The 15,691-nt window shown below is 43.5% G+C and overlaps 2 protein-coding genes across 27 annotated transcripts in view, besides 2 other annotated features; both read left to right on the top strand.

Moving 5' to 3' along the window:
- ACVR2B (activin A receptor type 2B) overlaps window positions 1–10,242 on the top strand; it is a 39,253-nt gene extending 29,011 nt beyond the window's left edge. For all 5 annotated transcript variants that reach the window (NM_001106.4, XM_017007515.3, XM_005265583.4 and 2 more), the window contains exon 11: window positions 238–10,242. In NM_001106.4, the coding sequence (NP_001097.2) occupies window positions 238–432 (195 nt within the window). In that variant the 3' untranslated portion in view covers window positions 433–10,242. The remainder of the gene's footprint in view (window positions 1–237) is intronic.
- The window catches only part of EXOG (exo/endonuclease G), a 29,964-nt gene continuing 27,712 nt past the window's right edge, over window positions 13,440–15,691 (top strand). For 7 of the 22 annotated variants that reach the window (NR_153328.2, NR_153327.2, XR_940530.4 and 4 more), the window contains exons 1-2: window positions 13,440–13,630; window positions 14,729–14,878. Coding sequence is in view for 4 of the 22 variants with exons in the window: in NM_005107.4 (NP_005098.2) it covers window positions 13,468–13,630; window positions 14,729–14,878 (313 nt within the window). In the remaining 18 variants the exon portion in view is untranslated. Of the gene's footprint in view, window positions 14,879–15,691 lie in introns of all 22 variants that reach the window. The other 15 variants (NR_153324.2, XM_047449376.1, XM_047449377.1 and 12 more) reach the window with 10 other exon arrangements.
- Window positions 13,589–13,638: an enhancer, noted in NCBI's record as "active region_19685". NCBI's record gives its function as "activates an Ori minimal core promoter by ATAC-STARR-seq in GM12878 lymphoblastoid cells {active_cell/tissue: GM12878}" and the evidence as "EXISTENCE:reporter gene assay evidence [ECO:0000049][PMID:35858748]".
- Window positions 13,699–13,768: an enhancer, noted in NCBI's record as "active region_19686". NCBI's record gives its function as "activates an Ori minimal core promoter by ATAC-STARR-seq in GM12878 lymphoblastoid cells {active_cell/tissue: GM12878}" and the evidence as "EXISTENCE:reporter gene assay evidence [ECO:0000049][PMID:35858748]".

Genomic DNA, 15,691 nt, shown 5'->3' on the forward strand with positions numbered 1-15,691 from the left:
AACCTTTCCTAGGGCTGTGGAGTGAGGCCAGTAAGCTCAGAAAGATGACTGCCATGAAGGCAGGCATGCTGATTCCTGAAGTTTTCCCCAGGCCTCTGCTGGTGGACCTGCTGCTGTGGTTGGGGCTGGTGGGCTCTGCCTGATCCTTGGGAATATCAAGTTTACTGTCCCCCAAAGCTTTTCCTCACTGAAGGGTCCTAACAAAGGTGTCTTTCCTGTCTGCCCTATGCTGCTTAGGGCCTGGCCCAGCTTTGTGTGACCATCGAGGAGTGCTGGGACCATGATGCAGAGGCTCGCTTGTCCGCGGGCTGTGTGGAGGAGCGGGTGTCCCTGATTCGGAGGTCGGTCAACGGCACTACCTCGGACTGTCTCGTTTCCCTGGTGACCTCTGTCACCAATGTGGACCTGCCCCCTAAAGAGTCAAGCATCTAAGCCCAGGACATGAGTGTCTGTCCAGACTCAGTGGATCTGAAGAAAAAAGGAAAAAAAGTTGTGTTTTGTTTTGGAAATCCCATAAAACCAACAAACACATAAAATGCAGCTGCTATTTTACCTTGACTTTTTATTATTATTATTATAATTATTATAATTATTATTATTAATATTATTTTTTGGATTGGATCAGTTTTTACCAGCATATTGCTCTACTGTATCACAAACAGCGGACACGTCAGCAGGCGTTGAGGTGCTGAGCTGTGGATGCAGAACCAGCGCCATGCTGAAGAGCCTCAGCCACCTCCTGTCCTTTGGGATTCGTTTTTCCCGCTTTCTCTTTGTTTGTCGTCTCAGAATCTGTGACACAAAGAAACCCATCTCCTGTCTTAGGAAACCTAATGCTGCAAACTCTACCTAGAGGAACCTTTGAAGACTGTTACATAAGAACATACCTTCCTCAGAAGAGGAGTTTCCTCTGCCCTCTGCCCTTCTCCCCTGCCTCCCTCCCTCCCCTCCTTTTATTTTGTTTTAGTGAGCTTAAGAAACAGCAGATGTGTCTTTCACGGATCTAACGGGTGTTGTCCTGATCGAGAAAAAAACTGGGATGAGAATGGTTTGGACTGGAGTTGGAAGGGGAGGACGGTACTGGGGGTAGGGTTTGGAACAGAGCTACACTGGACTCGGGCACATTCGGAGCAGCATCCTTTAGTATGGAGGCTACTTCTCAGGTAACCAGGAATTGAGGGGAAGGACCTTGTGGAGGCCGAGCATTAACAGCAAGAGCGGGGTTTGGAGAAAGTCTGAGATTGGGTGCAGCCCTGACTTACCTGCTGGCCCTGACCAGTTTCTTTTCACTAACTTGGCCTTGGGCATAGGATGAAACATTTTTTCTGCCCTAATTTTAAAACTAGGTGAGGGTAGAATCATCACAGGTTAGGAATACATTCTTCATAAGACACGATGCTGTAAATACCCTTAATGGACGAAAAGTTGAAATACTTTTGTTTCCTCTTGGAGCAGTTCAGGGAAATGCCCACAGGGGATTGTCCTGCACAGATAGGGCAAGAGGATTTCCTGGGTGGAGTCTGCCAAGGCCTGCCTCGCTGGGGACCCCAGAGTCCTGCACCTCTGGTTCCGCCCCAGGTGGTGACATTACTGTCCCCGTTCTGTGGCTCGTGGACAAGACTTTCTCCAGACCCCTTAAAGTGGTACATATTCTAAAAAACTGTTTTTCTATTATGCCATAACCTTGCTCTAGTCAGTGAATGTTCCTAATGCTGCTGTTTCAACATTTGAATTCTTTTTAATTTATGAAACATGCTAAATTTTTTTTTTCAAACAAAACACACACATCCACATATACACATGCTTCGCTATGTGGCTTCCAAGGTTTAAATTTTGAAAAGTAAAAGAATTAAAACTTCACGACCACAGATCACCTCAAACCAGAAATACCTCAGAATTTTCTACTTATGTAAGGTTTATTATATATTTTGTTAGTTGTGTTGTCTTGTAGTAAGTATATTTTAATGTAAGTTGGCTTTTGTGACAAGGAAGTTTAAAAGAAATAGAGAAAAAGAAAAAAGTTTGCATCTTCTAGGGAGTGCTACCATTTTTGTTTGATAACGCCCCCTTGTAAATAATTGTCATCAACTGTAGGTTGGCTGTCTGGGCCAAGTCTGGGCATTTATCAGTCTTGTTTGTGAAGGCTTTTCCTTCTGGTTTCTTTAGATCATTTTATTTAAAAACAGTGCATCTCTTCATCGTGAGGGTAGGCAAGGCGGGGGCCGTGGGGAGAGGTTGACCTGGGTGAGAACTGAAGAGGCCGCCTCCTCTTGGGTTGTTTGGAGCTTCACATGTAATTCACATGTAACATGTAACTTGATCGGTCAGTGTTCAGAATGACAAGTAACCCCGCTTAAACTTGGTAGAAGGATGGCCCTTAGACCTGAATGGGGTGATTTTACTTGGGATTTAACTTCTTCAGCAAATTAACAGCAACGTTGGAAGAGATCTGTGGCGCCTCTGTGAAGCACACCGTGACTCAGGCCAGTCTTTTAGTGCAGCGTGTCTGGGAGTGAAGGGTTTTGCCCTTGCTGGTCTTGGAGTCCACAGTGTGAGGGGCACTGCACATGCCTGGGCATCTACCTAGTGTGCTATGTTCAGTGTCTGGGGCTTACTGCCCCGGGGTCCTTTCCTCTGGGTGTTGGGGCACAGGGTGCTATGGGAGGCCCATTTGCTTCCCTCTCGGAGCTCAGTTTTTGCTTCATGGGTCAAAATGTGGGCTGGCCAAGTGGTTACAGGAACAGGGTTTCGGTAAGCTATGTTGTCTTTTTTTTTTTTTTTTTTTTTTTTTTTAATGGTTTGATTTTGTGCTGTGGTATTTTTTTTCCCTTAGAATAATTTTTAATGGCAAAACAGGCCTTACAGCAGTTGCTTTTCTTTACCATTTATTTCTTTAAGAAGCTTTAAAATATTTATTGAAAAGTGCCATATCTAATTTCTTTAGCTTTCGCCTCAGGCAGTGCAGGCATCTTTACTTTTCATCCTCAGAAGAAACAAACGACTAACAAATGTAGCAAATTTACTGCAGGAATAGTTAGGTCATGATACTACCTGAACACTAAACCCCAGCCTCTTTGTTTGGTTTTAGTTCCTCTGGGTGGTTTTTCTTTTGTGTGCTGGCTTGATTCTTGTGAGAAGTTTTGACCTGGCCAAGGGAGGGTTGAGCCATGGTTCTGGTGTGGGACTTTGCGGTCAAGACACAGTACAGACAGGTCAGGCCTGCGTGCCTTTTCTCTGGGTGGCCTCCCCGTTAGGCCCACCGTACGCTCAGCCACTATAGTGTCCCTGTGGGGCCTTGCCATCAGATTGTGTGTCAGGAGATGGTACCTTTTTGGTGTGGCTGGGGAGGAGTGTGGTCCATGCCAGTTCTTTGGGCTTCAGGCCACTCTTCCCCTCATGCTGTGGTGTAAAGTGCACCCATCAGGTGGTATATCTGGTTCTGATGGCAAGAAGAAGGTGGGGGATCTCCTTATAGGGCATGGGTCTAGGAGCACAGATGGGCCTTTTGCCCCGGGTAAATGCTTGTCTGTTTGCTGTCATGTGTTCTTTGAGGAGTGAGCCATCTCGAGCCCTGCTTTGAATTTACTGGGTCATAGAGCCTCTGCCTGTGCTCTTTTCCATAATGACTTCATGTGACATGCACTTTTGGTGGGCTCAGATAATTGGTTTCTTTTTGTTTTTGACCTCAGGCTCTGTGGCAGACTGGGGAAAATGGGGCCTGGCATCATTTTCCCTGTCAATGGGAGGGGCTGTTCCATGCAGGGTGGGAGGGGACCAAGTTAGCAGAGAGTAGCCAAGGATCCTTGCTTCTTCCTTTCTAGTGTGCTGTCATCCAAGCAGGCTCCTGGCTGTAGGGATGGGCCTTGGGGAAGAATCTTCTTTGAAAGCATCTATGATAACTGAGAAGTCATCCCTAGTTGGAGAAATCCAGTAATGAGCAGAAGGAGGAAGCAAGTGAGGACAGAGGCCATTGTATTACAGTGTCACGCAGAGGGCCCTCAATGATGGGGCATTGGGGAAGGCTGTAGACATAGTCATCAGAACATCCTGGCCTGGCATAAGCTGGGTTTTCTCCTGGGACCATTGGTCCTCAGCAGGAGTTCTTTGCATGAGTTGCTCAGGGGCAAGGGCTGCAAGTGGGCTGTGCTTAGGAGAAAGTGACACCTGGCAGTGAGGGAAGATGGTGAGCATTATTAGCCTTTGTTGTCCAGCATGGCCTTCTTGTCCTGTCTGCTCTGGAGAGGAGCCTGTGGGACCAGTCCTGCCTGGGGAGGGCATACCCACACGTGCCAGCTGATTCTGACTCTGAATACATCATGTCCGGACTTGGGGGTGTTTCTGCAGAAAAAGGAGGTTGTTTTTCAGCCTTGAACATCTTCAGGAGGATAGAGACTCTTGCTCACATATTCTTAGCAAAGGGAAGGGTCTCTCATCTCCAGGCCACAGAGATAGTTCTTCCATTGCCCTAAGAGGCTAGGCTAACCCTCTTGACATAACTTAGACAGCAAAGCACTTCATCCTGTAGTTGGGCTCTGTCACCTTTCTCTTCAGTTGGCCACATTCTCGTTTCCTCCATCCTGCTATGCTTTGTGTGCTCGGGCTGTGTGTGGGGTTTTTCCCTGGTGGAAGGAAGCCCAGCTGTGTATTGAATGTCCTTCATGTGTTGTGTGTGGCTCAGAAAGCCTGTCACTTGGCCCCTGTGCTCTGAGCCGTGAGGGTGGGGAGGTGGCTGTTCCATTAAAGTGGGAGTATTGGATGGCCCTCTTGAAACTAGAATTTTGCCTTTTTTAGTATGCAGTATAAAGTTTCCAGCATCTATTGGTAACACAAAGATTTGCTGGTTTTTAAAATAATACAGTAAGCATAAGTATGTAAGTTTTTAGAATTGGTACTAGAAGTTGGACAGCTAGTTATTCTCGAGAACTTTATTTCACTAGAAAAATATACTAATTGGAAAGCAGTTTCCAGGAGTTAACTCAGTTTAATTTTCAGTCTCAGTTATTTTAGCCTGTTGAGTTTTTGATGGCACACCTTTGGAGAGATGGCCACGCCTGATTCCCATTTCAGGGGCATCAGACCATACCTTTTTAAGAAGCTCCGTGAATCTAGTCATCTACCCTTCATCCTGGGCGAACAGCCAAAAAGAGAAGGGGACAAGGTGTCTTTTTCTCCTTCTCACTGGGGTGACATGAATTCTTTTAGTTAATGGCTGTTTGCAAATTCTAAACTAATGAAATACTTAGCAGCTAACATGTTCAATCTAGTAATGATGAGTTTAAATCTCAATTGACAGTAATGTTTTAGATAAACAGGCCCAGTAATTCAGTTGATGAACTGTATATCTTCTCAGTCTAGATTTGTAAATGTTTAATGAATTCAGGGTTATAAGCATAGTTCTTTAAGTAAGATTCCAGATAGTTGATTTGCAACCAGCAGTCTACCTATGAATGTATCCCAAACCTTTAGAAGATTGGAAAAGATTTTTGAAATAATGATTTAGTTTTGTAGGAAAAACACCCCCTTGAAAATTAATTCGGTTGACCCAGTAACATTTTTTAAAACAATTGGTGGCTCCAAAAGGCCTGCCAACAAAGAAAAGTCCAAATTATCTAGTGGGACATTTTGAATGTTTTATGTTTATTTTGGGTCCACTGTAAACTTTGGTTCAAAAAAGAATTTGAATTTAAAGAATTTACCATTATTTAAATTATTACCAAGTTTTTACATTTTCATGATGGTATTTTCCAGGTATGAATGAAACATGACTTTTTGATTGTGGTACTTCCTGTATCCCCTGTAGTGCCAAAACCAGTGATACTTTATTTGCTCCTATGGCAGCTCATAGAGGTAACCGAAGTGATTTTTCCTCAGTAATTGAAACACATATTCTCTAAATGCCAATGTGTGGTGATGGGCCCTGCACTGCCTTCATTTCTCTAGGGCAGTGTCTTTGGATTGTCTAGGGCCTAGGTAATTCTGAGAACTACTGTAAACCAACCACAGGGCACTAAAGCAATGTACACACCACTCTTTGTGTGTATGGAAGGGGTTATATAAACCTGGGCTATGCTGGACATCTACAGAAGAGTATTACATTCACTTGCAAAGTTTACATTTTTGAGCTCACAGTTATGAAAAATATGACCCACAAGTTTTTCAGGCAGGTGAGGATGGGTCTTCTTGCAAATGCATGAGTTCTGTCTTGAGTCCTGGGAACTTCTCTGTTGGTTGAGTGTGGGCTCATTCCCTGACTCTCCTAATCATGTTTGCGTCAGAATGTTAGCATTGTAAATAAAAGAATAGGTTGTATAATAGATACACAACACTTGAAACTTTACTTTAAAAAAATCGATAGTTCTACATATATATTTAGTTATATCACTTGACAGATTTCTTCTACACAGTGTGGAGATTGTTTTATACCACAGATTATTTTTATAAAGTTAGTGAATTTGAATGATTTTGTAATCAGAGCTAATGAGCTTTACCTTTCAAGAGAAACGTACACTGGAGCATGAGTGGTGTGGAACTTTTACTTAGTGTTTATATGGATTCTTGTGATACACTGGCAGACTGGAGTCAATTTGCGGGTCTTTTTTGGCCAAAACTCCACTTGTGGTTGTGTAGGACAGTGATATTCAGCTCAGCTTCTTGTGGATTGGGAGGAGAGAGGGCCTGCAATGTGTTTTACATTGGTGCTTCCTCCTGAGATTTCTGTTGAACAAAGGGTTCTGAGGTCAAAAATTAGTTTGTAAGCCTTTGCCATAGGACATAGTCATGTGAGAGTGTTTGGGGGAACAGAAATTGTATAGGGGTGCCTATTGGGGTGGGATGGGACTCGAATAAGATTCAGGTACAAAAACTTTGAAATGAGAATCTGGTGGTTTGAGTAATCCACCAGACTGAATTATCTAAGATCACATTATCCAGGTTGGGGGGCAGAATTACCCAGTTAAGTAATTGTTCAGAAAAGTGGGGAGGGTGGCATGTGGATGCAGTGATCCAATTAAATGGAGAGCTGCCAGGCACATTTTGTCCTCTCTGGTCAGTGAGAATGGTTGGGTTGGCTCGCTGCTTCAATCTGTGGAATCAGCCAGGAGCCCAGTGAGGAAGCTCAGAACCCCAGTAACAGCAGAGCATCTTTCAGATAGCTCCAGAGTTTTCCTGCTTTTCTGAGGAAGCTCAGCATCACTGCCACAATACGGAAAGTGGTCTTCATTTTAGCCTATTTATTTTTAGGCAGAGAGTGGATGGTTATTTGTGTGGGACTTTTGGTGGCGATATATAATGAATAATTAAGTTAATTTCTGGTATGCATAATGGCCAGTCCTGAGGCCCAGCTGAAGACCTGTCCCCCAGACCCTGCCCGCTGGCTTCAGGCTGCTGCTTCTAGACAGAGGTGCACTGGACGGGATAGTTTTATCAAGAGAATCCCTAATGTGTCATTTTAAACCAGCTGTGCTTTTTATTCATTCTGGTTGAGCGTATAGGTTTACACTTTACCCTTTTTATACTTGGAATAAATTTAGTTCCAGCAGATCTAGTAGCACTCCAGAAACCAACCCCATCTGTTCCCCATAAAAAGAACATTTTCTCTGCTCTCCAGCCACGTGTCTTGGAATGTAATTCTGTTGTGCCTTTGTTTTTATCACTCTCTTCGCCCCAAAAGCAACTGCTGTAAGCTTTTTTCTACTTGTCTTTTCTAGTCCCCAACCTCTACCTTTTTCCTTTTTCCCAGCCCTAATTTCTGGATGCACTTCTGTGATCCAGGTATTTTAAGAACCAGTTACCTCAGACCTCATGTTGAACAGTGTCGCCATCTGGGTCCTCTTGATACTGCAGACTTTTAACGTACACATGCAGGAACCCTGCTGAGCGTGGGCACTTGTTTTAAAGCAAAACTCTTCCCAAGGACTGAAGAAAGGGCTTCTGGCAAGCTCGTCATGGCATTGTGGTGGGATGGGTCTAGAGTGTCATCTGAATGGTGCTTCCTGTGTTCCTCTTTGAATTCTGCCATTTTCAGTATTCTTGTGTGTCTGAATAGGCAAAGCGATTTAATTGGCTGGTCTTGCACGCAAATTAGTTCCAAAGATAAGCTCTTTGTAACACATTTCCAGTCGCTAATGCTCAAATGTAGAACATTCCTTTAAATGGCAGGATAAAAAACCCACTATCCACCATAGTGCATTTTGGGAAGATGTCTGTAGCATATGTTGCTGTGAAATTAGGCCTTGTGGGATATGGCTGTTTGTCATTTTGATGTATTTTAAATAAATATATATATTTTTTAAAGAGCCTTTTTTACCAGTTCAAAAAGTTTAATTAACCAGCAGTCACCGCATCTGAATTTTTGTCTCTGGGGCATAGATGGCAGACCAAGATTAAAAGTGGTAACTCAGCTATACGAGCATGGGCTACCTTCCTGGGCTCTCCTGCAGTCCTGTAGACCTGCTGTTCCGCAGACCATGGGACACAAGGTCAGTGTGTTCCCAGTGAGGGTCCCAAGTCAGTCATCTTAAGTGTTTGTTCTCTGCCCCATTCAGTGGACTGTTGACTTCAGTCCCTGCAAGTGCTTTAGCCCGAGTGGGGTTTTCTCAGAGCACTGCCACGAGTTAAGTGTGTGTTTAGCCAAATAATTTCTCCGTAAGGGAAAAATGCAGTCACCCAAATTTTACCAACAATGACAGAGATGAGAGTAGAAAAGATTAGGCAACATCTGAGTTTTAACTTGAAAAGTGTCCAAGTCATCATGAAAGGCCGACTGGGAGCAAGTGATTATTAGAGATTCTTCAGGAGACCTCATCTGAAAATGTTAAGACTGCCAGTGAGGGAAGGAATTGTTAAAATGCCAGCGGCTTTTTTTTCCTCTTTTTTTCTGTAATTCTGTAAAAATGCAGAGAAAGTTGAGTGGTACTTCAGAATTGAGGGAGAGGGTTACCGCAGAGTAGAAATATATTTCTAGATTTCAGTTCCACACCACAAATCCACAACAATGCCATTTTTCAACTGTACAAAAATCTGCTTATGAACTGGACATGATCTTAATGGTAGTGTCAAAGGCCAAGTTTTTCACCTGTTAATATTTTTCCACATTTGTCCTTGAATCTGAATAACTTTATACAGTACTGTAAATTTAACTTACATCGAGTTTGTTGTCAATTCTTATGAAAAGAGCTTTCTGCATGTAACACATACGGTTAAAGAACACAGCAAAGGACAAAATTTGCAGGAACAGTTTTGGAACCAACAGAAAATGTCACCTTTTATTTGCCATCTTATATATATCTATCAGTTTTACCAGCTACTTCTAAATTTGTACATTATTTGTAAGGGAAAGAAGGAAAACCCTAAGACTTGTCTAACTTAGTGGAGAATGTGTGTGTTGGGCTTAGGATGGATAGCTAAGTCTTATTGAGCTGTGTTACCTAACTTGTATATAAAAATTGTAATTAAAAGTTTGGGTTCACCTGTTTCTCACAGTTTAAAATGATGAGTAATTGCAAACTCTGGAAATGTGACTAGTATATGATTTAAGGCTGTAGAAGCAAGGAAGCTCTTTCAAGTGCTAAAACTAAAGACTTCTAGTTTTTGGCTCAAATAAGTACTGTTTGTATACCAGGATATGTGAGATGTAAATGTAGTAGGTCACTTTTCACCCTTGTAGCTATAAAATAAAAATTTTGTAGAACAGAAATAGCTTGTACTACTGAATTAACAAAAGTTATACTAAAGTATCATGTTTAAAAAAAATATATATATATATACAGAGTTAAGCTTGTTGCTGTTACCCTGTCTGGATTTGAAAAGTGTGCTGATTTATATATATATATTACACACACACACACACACACACACACACACACACACACACACACACACACACACACACACACACACACACACATACACCTAAAATGGCCTAAAGCAGACATCCATGTAATTACAGTTGCAAAATGAAAACATTTTGGAAAGAACATTGTATCATAGTTCATTCATTTGCAGTGGATCTTTGTTCCTTTTTACTGTGGTAATTTTAGAAATGAGTGTCAAGTTTGAAATTAGATCTGCTAAGTTGGGGTTTTGCTGCTTGAACTCTGCACTGGGTCCTCAAATAAACCGATGTGAATGTAGTTTTTTCCCCCTGTGTGAAGAAGCAGTTACACCCCAACAATAGGAGGAAAAATCTAGAACTATTTCAAGTTTTATCTTTTTGTATATGAAAATAAAATAATAATAAAACAATCTTGTCTTTCTTAATTACGTGGCAGGGGATTGGAGTTTCCTTTCATGAGGATTAGACATGAAATGAAATGGCGTTCGGCTGCTTAGAGGGCTGACTCAAGTCAGTTCCTGTTTGGTATGTGTAACATTAACAGATGTTAATGGCTGAATGCCTAGTCTGCCATGGTCCTGTGGGGCTGGAGCTAAGCACAGGTCTCCATTTCTGCCATTCAGAAGTCCAGGGTCTAGTTGGGGACATTATGAATGGGGACCATTCTCCTGAACGAACTGTTCTGGGATTTTGAGTAAGTTTCTGCAGGTTAGCATATTTTCCAAATGTCCAAGACACTCCCCATTCCCTCATCCTCTGCCACCAGTCCTGTACTTTGCAGACAACCCTGAGCAATATTGTTGTAAGTGGAGCAGAGAAGCCTTGAAAATAGTTGTATTCAGGACTATTGCAGATGACAAACTCTGTCATTCCCAAACGTTGCTGAGTACTGGAGTCATTTGCGGAGCTATTAAAAAATACAATTATGGGTCCTTATCCCCAACCTGGAATTAGCAAACCAGGTCTCCAGTTTCAGAGATTTGGACTTAATCTCACTAAAGGAACTCATGGTTCCCCAATAATAAAATAATGATAGTCTTTAATACCTAACAAAACAGGAAGGCCCCAGAAATCACCTCACTGCTTTCTGCAGTAACAAGTTTTTTTGGTCGATGACTCTTTCTTGCCTAAGTGGAGAAACACCCTTTAAATTCACCCTTTATTATGAGAATTAAGCAACGGTTTGAAACTTGTGGAGAAAGTTTTTGATGACCCTTTATTCAGGGACCAGTTGCCCAATATTTGGCTGTTTTTGCTCTTTCACGTTTAGAAAGTTCACCTTTTATTAGTGAGTGCCTCTAATGAAGGAAGGAGAGCAAAGGGCTGACATTTTTGATACAGGATCTTGGAGCTGGAAAAGCTGAAAGGTTGGACCTTAGGAGTCATCTGGTCAAACTTTCCCTATAGCAAAGGAATTCTTTGACCAAAGAAATTTGACACAGAAGTTGGTTTATAAAACCAGGCTTGTCTGAATGAGCAAGTAGAAGAGGGCCAAGGGACCATTTCACTTACCCTCCCATCCCTTCCTTTAAGTCTCAGGTATCCCTATGGAACACCTAGGAACCTTGATTAAAGTTTACAAATCACTGGCCCAATTCCAATTTTACAGGTGGGCAAACAGGCCCAGAGGGAGTTTTCCTACCCTGAGGCAGGCAACCCTTCCAGTTCTTGACCTCTTGGGACCAAAAGTGGGGTTACACTTGTTCAGAAGTAGAGGATCTGGATTAGGAAAAGCCATCTAATATTTATCTCTCTAGTATTTAGCACAGTGTCTGGCACTTACAAGGGCCTTAAGAAATACAGTACCTCAGTGATTGTGTATTTAGTAAATTCTGGGGAAAGCTGCTGAAGTAGCCTTGAAGCCTACAGATACCAGTGTTGTCTGGTTGTATTTGTTAGGATTCTTGGTTGCAGGTGACAGAAGCCATTAGACAAAAAAGGGGGTTTCACTGAAAGGATTCTGGGGGAAATGACTAGCCAAGACTTCAGAAAGGCAGGATGTATGTGGGCTTCAGGAGCCTGTGGGAGTTGGGGTCATAACATTGCAGGCCTCCACCTGTGTCCTGGTATTTCTTCCATTATTGCTCAGAGCAAGACCAGATGCATCTGCTCCTTTGACTTCTTAGCAGGAAACAAGGCTGTAGACAGTGCCAGAGCTTTTTTTTTTTTTTTTAGACAGAGTCTTGCTCTATTGCCCAGATTGGAGTGCAGTGGCACGATCTCAGCTCACTGCAACCTCCGTCTCCTGGGTTCAAGCAATTCTGCCTCAGCCTTTCGAGTAGCTGGGATTACAGGCACGCGCCACCACACCTGGTTGATTTTTGTATTGTTAGTAGAGACGGGGTTTCACCATGTTGGCCAGGCTGGTCTCAAATTCCTGACCTCAGGTGATCCTCCAGTCTTGGCCTCCCGAAGTGCTGGGATTGCAGGCATGAGCCACTGCGCCTGTGAGTTTTACGTCACAGCTTTGCTACCCAGAGAGACTACTAGATCGAAAATCCCTAGGAAGGACTCTGGTTGATGTAGCTTAACCAGTCAGGGTCCTTCAGAAGAGGTATTCCTGGCAAGGGGGTAGCCTCCCATTTGAGGCTGTCAAAATAATGTGCACACTTCAGTAGGTTGTTAGAAGTGGCCTCCTGGTCAGTGAATCATCAGTGGGATCAGATGAAAGTTATTCCTACCAGTTATCTAAGAAATAGGAAACTTGAAGTTTCTGCTAAGAACTAAGTCCACACGGAATGCTAGAGATCATGCTGCAAAATGAAGACTCATTTGTTTGTGAGTGGTAGTCCATGAAATCTATCCTTTCTTTGCCAGCAGGCGTTCAGCAATCTGGATTTTATATTCTATCAAGACAAAGAGTAGAGATGACTCAAACATTTCTAACATTTATAGAGCACTTAGTGACATGCCCCTGGTACTTCCCTAAACATTTTACATGTGTCATCTCCTTTAATCCTCACAAGAACGCTATGGTCTAAGTATTATTATTCCAATTTAAAAGAGAAGGTTGGGGACAGTGACACACACCTGGACTTACAGCACTTTGGGAGGCCGAGGCGGGAAGATTGCTTGAGGCCAGAAGTTGGATACCAGCCTGGGCAACATAAGGAGACCCCCTTCTTTACCGCTCCCCCACTCCCGCCAAAAATTTAGCCGGGCAATGTGGCACGTGCCTGTAGTCCCAGCTACTCAGGAGGCTGAGGCAGGAGGATCGCTTGAGCCCACGAGTTCGAGATCGCAGTAAGCTATGATCATTCCACTGTACTGCAGCCTGGGTAACAGAGACCCTGTCGCTAAATAAATAAATAGACCTGAGTTGGAATATCGGCTCTGGAGACCTTAGTGTAACCATGCGCAAGTGTTTACTCACCTATTAAATGAGACTAAAGGTATTTTCTTCTCATGACTATATATAGCATACCACTAAGCCCTCTAGACATCATATTCCCCATCCATCGCCCCGTCCAGTGGACCAGGGATGAAGCGGGGATGCGCTAGGCATCCCGGTTTGTCACCAGGGGGCGTGCGAGGCCCTCAGCTTGGCGGGCGGTGAGGCGTGGGGTGACGGGGGGATGGCGGGGGCCGGCATGCGCGCGCATGCGCCGTGGTAAAAGGCCGGTACCTCGGGCAAGATGGCTATCAAGAGTATCGCTTCCCGCCTCCGGGGTTCCCGTCGTTTTCTGAGCGGCTTCGTGGCTGGGGCTGTAGTGGGCGCTGCGGGAGCTGGGCTCGCGGCCCTGCAGTTCTTCCGGAGTCAGGGCGCTGAGGGAGCGTTGACAGGGAAGCAGCCGGATGGTAAGTCTGTGGGCCCGTCCTCCCTTCGCTGGCCCAGATTTCGGGCTCCGACTCCTACCTGGAGTGTGAATGGCAGTCCTTGACGGACAGCCTTCACCGTTTGCTGGGCCCCTAGCCTGGCCCTTGGTTTCTGACCTTTATTCTCCCGGCTCGGCCTCCCTTCCCCACCTCGCGTCTCGCCAGCTTCCCTCATGTCCTTCCTTCCCCCGGGCATCTTCGTTTTCTGCACAGAACCACCCCCGCCGCCCGACTTTCTTCCCCCCAGTTACTCATCGCGATATCTATGTTTTAATGTCTGTGTTCTCTACTAAGATTGTTAGCTCCATAAGACTTGAGACTATGTCTGTTTTGGTCTCCATCATCTAACCAGCACAGTACCTGGTACATAATTGGCATTCAGTAAGTATGAATGAAGGAATAAATTAATACATAATTTTAGTAGATGAGTTAACTGCCCTTCTTTCGTCATTGTTCAGTTGAAGAATACCTGCTATCCCTCCAAAGTGTATAAAAACTCATGTTGCAATGGGTACCTTATATTTGACAAAAAAAAAAAAAAAATTAACACGAGCTCATTTCTTGTACTTTGCGGATGTGCTAATTTAACTTGCTCCTTTGGATACTTGGCATCTAGCAAGAGAACTACCCCCTTGGGGGGTTGAGGATTTGAGAAGGCATCGGGGAGGATTATCTCGAAACTGACTCACTGCTGAATGTGTGCTTGGTTTCTCCCACTAGGAAAAACAGTACCAGTTTTACTGTCATCTTGCAACAGCACACATATCAGTGCTTCAGAGATGATTTGGAAATTTGATGTGAAAGACTAATAAGATCAAGTCTTTATTCAAAAGTTAATGCAGTAGCTGCATTTTATTCACTGATTATAGGCAAATCAGTACTTTGCCTACTGTCTGTTTTCTTCATCTCATAAGTAATTGCAAAAATGAGATTTTCTGGTTGATTAGACTTCTGAGCCAGTCCTTTGTAAATCACACCGCTCTCCTTTTCCTTATAATCTTTCATTATTAAGAGCCACTAATTGTGTGTGTGTGTTTTTTTTGTCTCTGCCCCCCCTTTTTTTTTTTTTTTCATTTTTAGGATCTGCAGAAAAGGCTGTCTTGGAACAATTTGGATTCCCTTTAACTGGAACAGAGGCAAGGTGTTACACTAATCACGCTTTGTCTTATGATCAGGCAAAGCGGGTGCCTAGATGGGTTCTTGAACATATTTCCAAAAGCAAGATAATGGGTAGGTGGTTGGATAAAAAAACTGAAGTAACAGTATTTATGAAAGATGTCTCCAAATTTAAAACAGGGATGATTATTAATATTCTCAACCTTTTTCATATCATAGCACATGTAGAAAATTATATTTATATAACTTACTGGTTAAATCAACCCTGCCTGGCAGCCAGAAAGCCAGACCCTTTCCAGCTGTCTCAGGGCTGAAAATACCCATATCTTGACACACTAGTTGGGAGGCTCTGTCATAAATATTACAGCAATGAGCACCATTCAGTTTTACCTTAACAAATATTTATGTGCCTGCTATGTGTCTGGCACTGTGGTAACCCTTGGGGACCTATGTGTGACCAGAGTAGAGGATCTCTACCCCAGTGACACTTTGAGTTGGGAGAGTGGGTTGACCCATCAAACAAATAATTTTAGATGTATAATTACAATAATTTTTCCAAAGGAGGTGATTGCAAGTTAGTGTAGTATAATTAAGGAACAGTAAAAAGTTTGATGAGAGGCTGGGCGTGGTGGCTCACACCTGTAATCCCAGTACTTTGGGAGGCTGAGGCGTTTGAGCTCAGGAGTTTGAGATGAGCCTGGCCAACATGGCAAAACCGCGTTTCTACAAAAAATACAAAAATTAGCTGGGCGTGGTGGTGCACCTCTGTGGTTCCAGCTACTTGGGGGACTGAGATGGGAGGATCTCTTGAGCCCAGGAGGTGGGGGTTGCAGTGAGCCAAGATCGCAGCACCACACTCCAGCTTAGGCAACAGAGGGAGAATGTGTCTCAAAAAAAAAAAAAAGTGTGATGAGAGATTATAACACA

The sequence above is a fragment of the Homo sapiens genome, chromosome 3 (assembly GCF_000001405.40).
Source record: "Homo sapiens chromosome 3, GRCh38.p14 Primary Assembly".
NCBI classification, from domain to species: domain Eukaryota; kingdom Metazoa; phylum Chordata; class Mammalia; order Primates; family Hominidae; genus Homo; species Homo sapiens.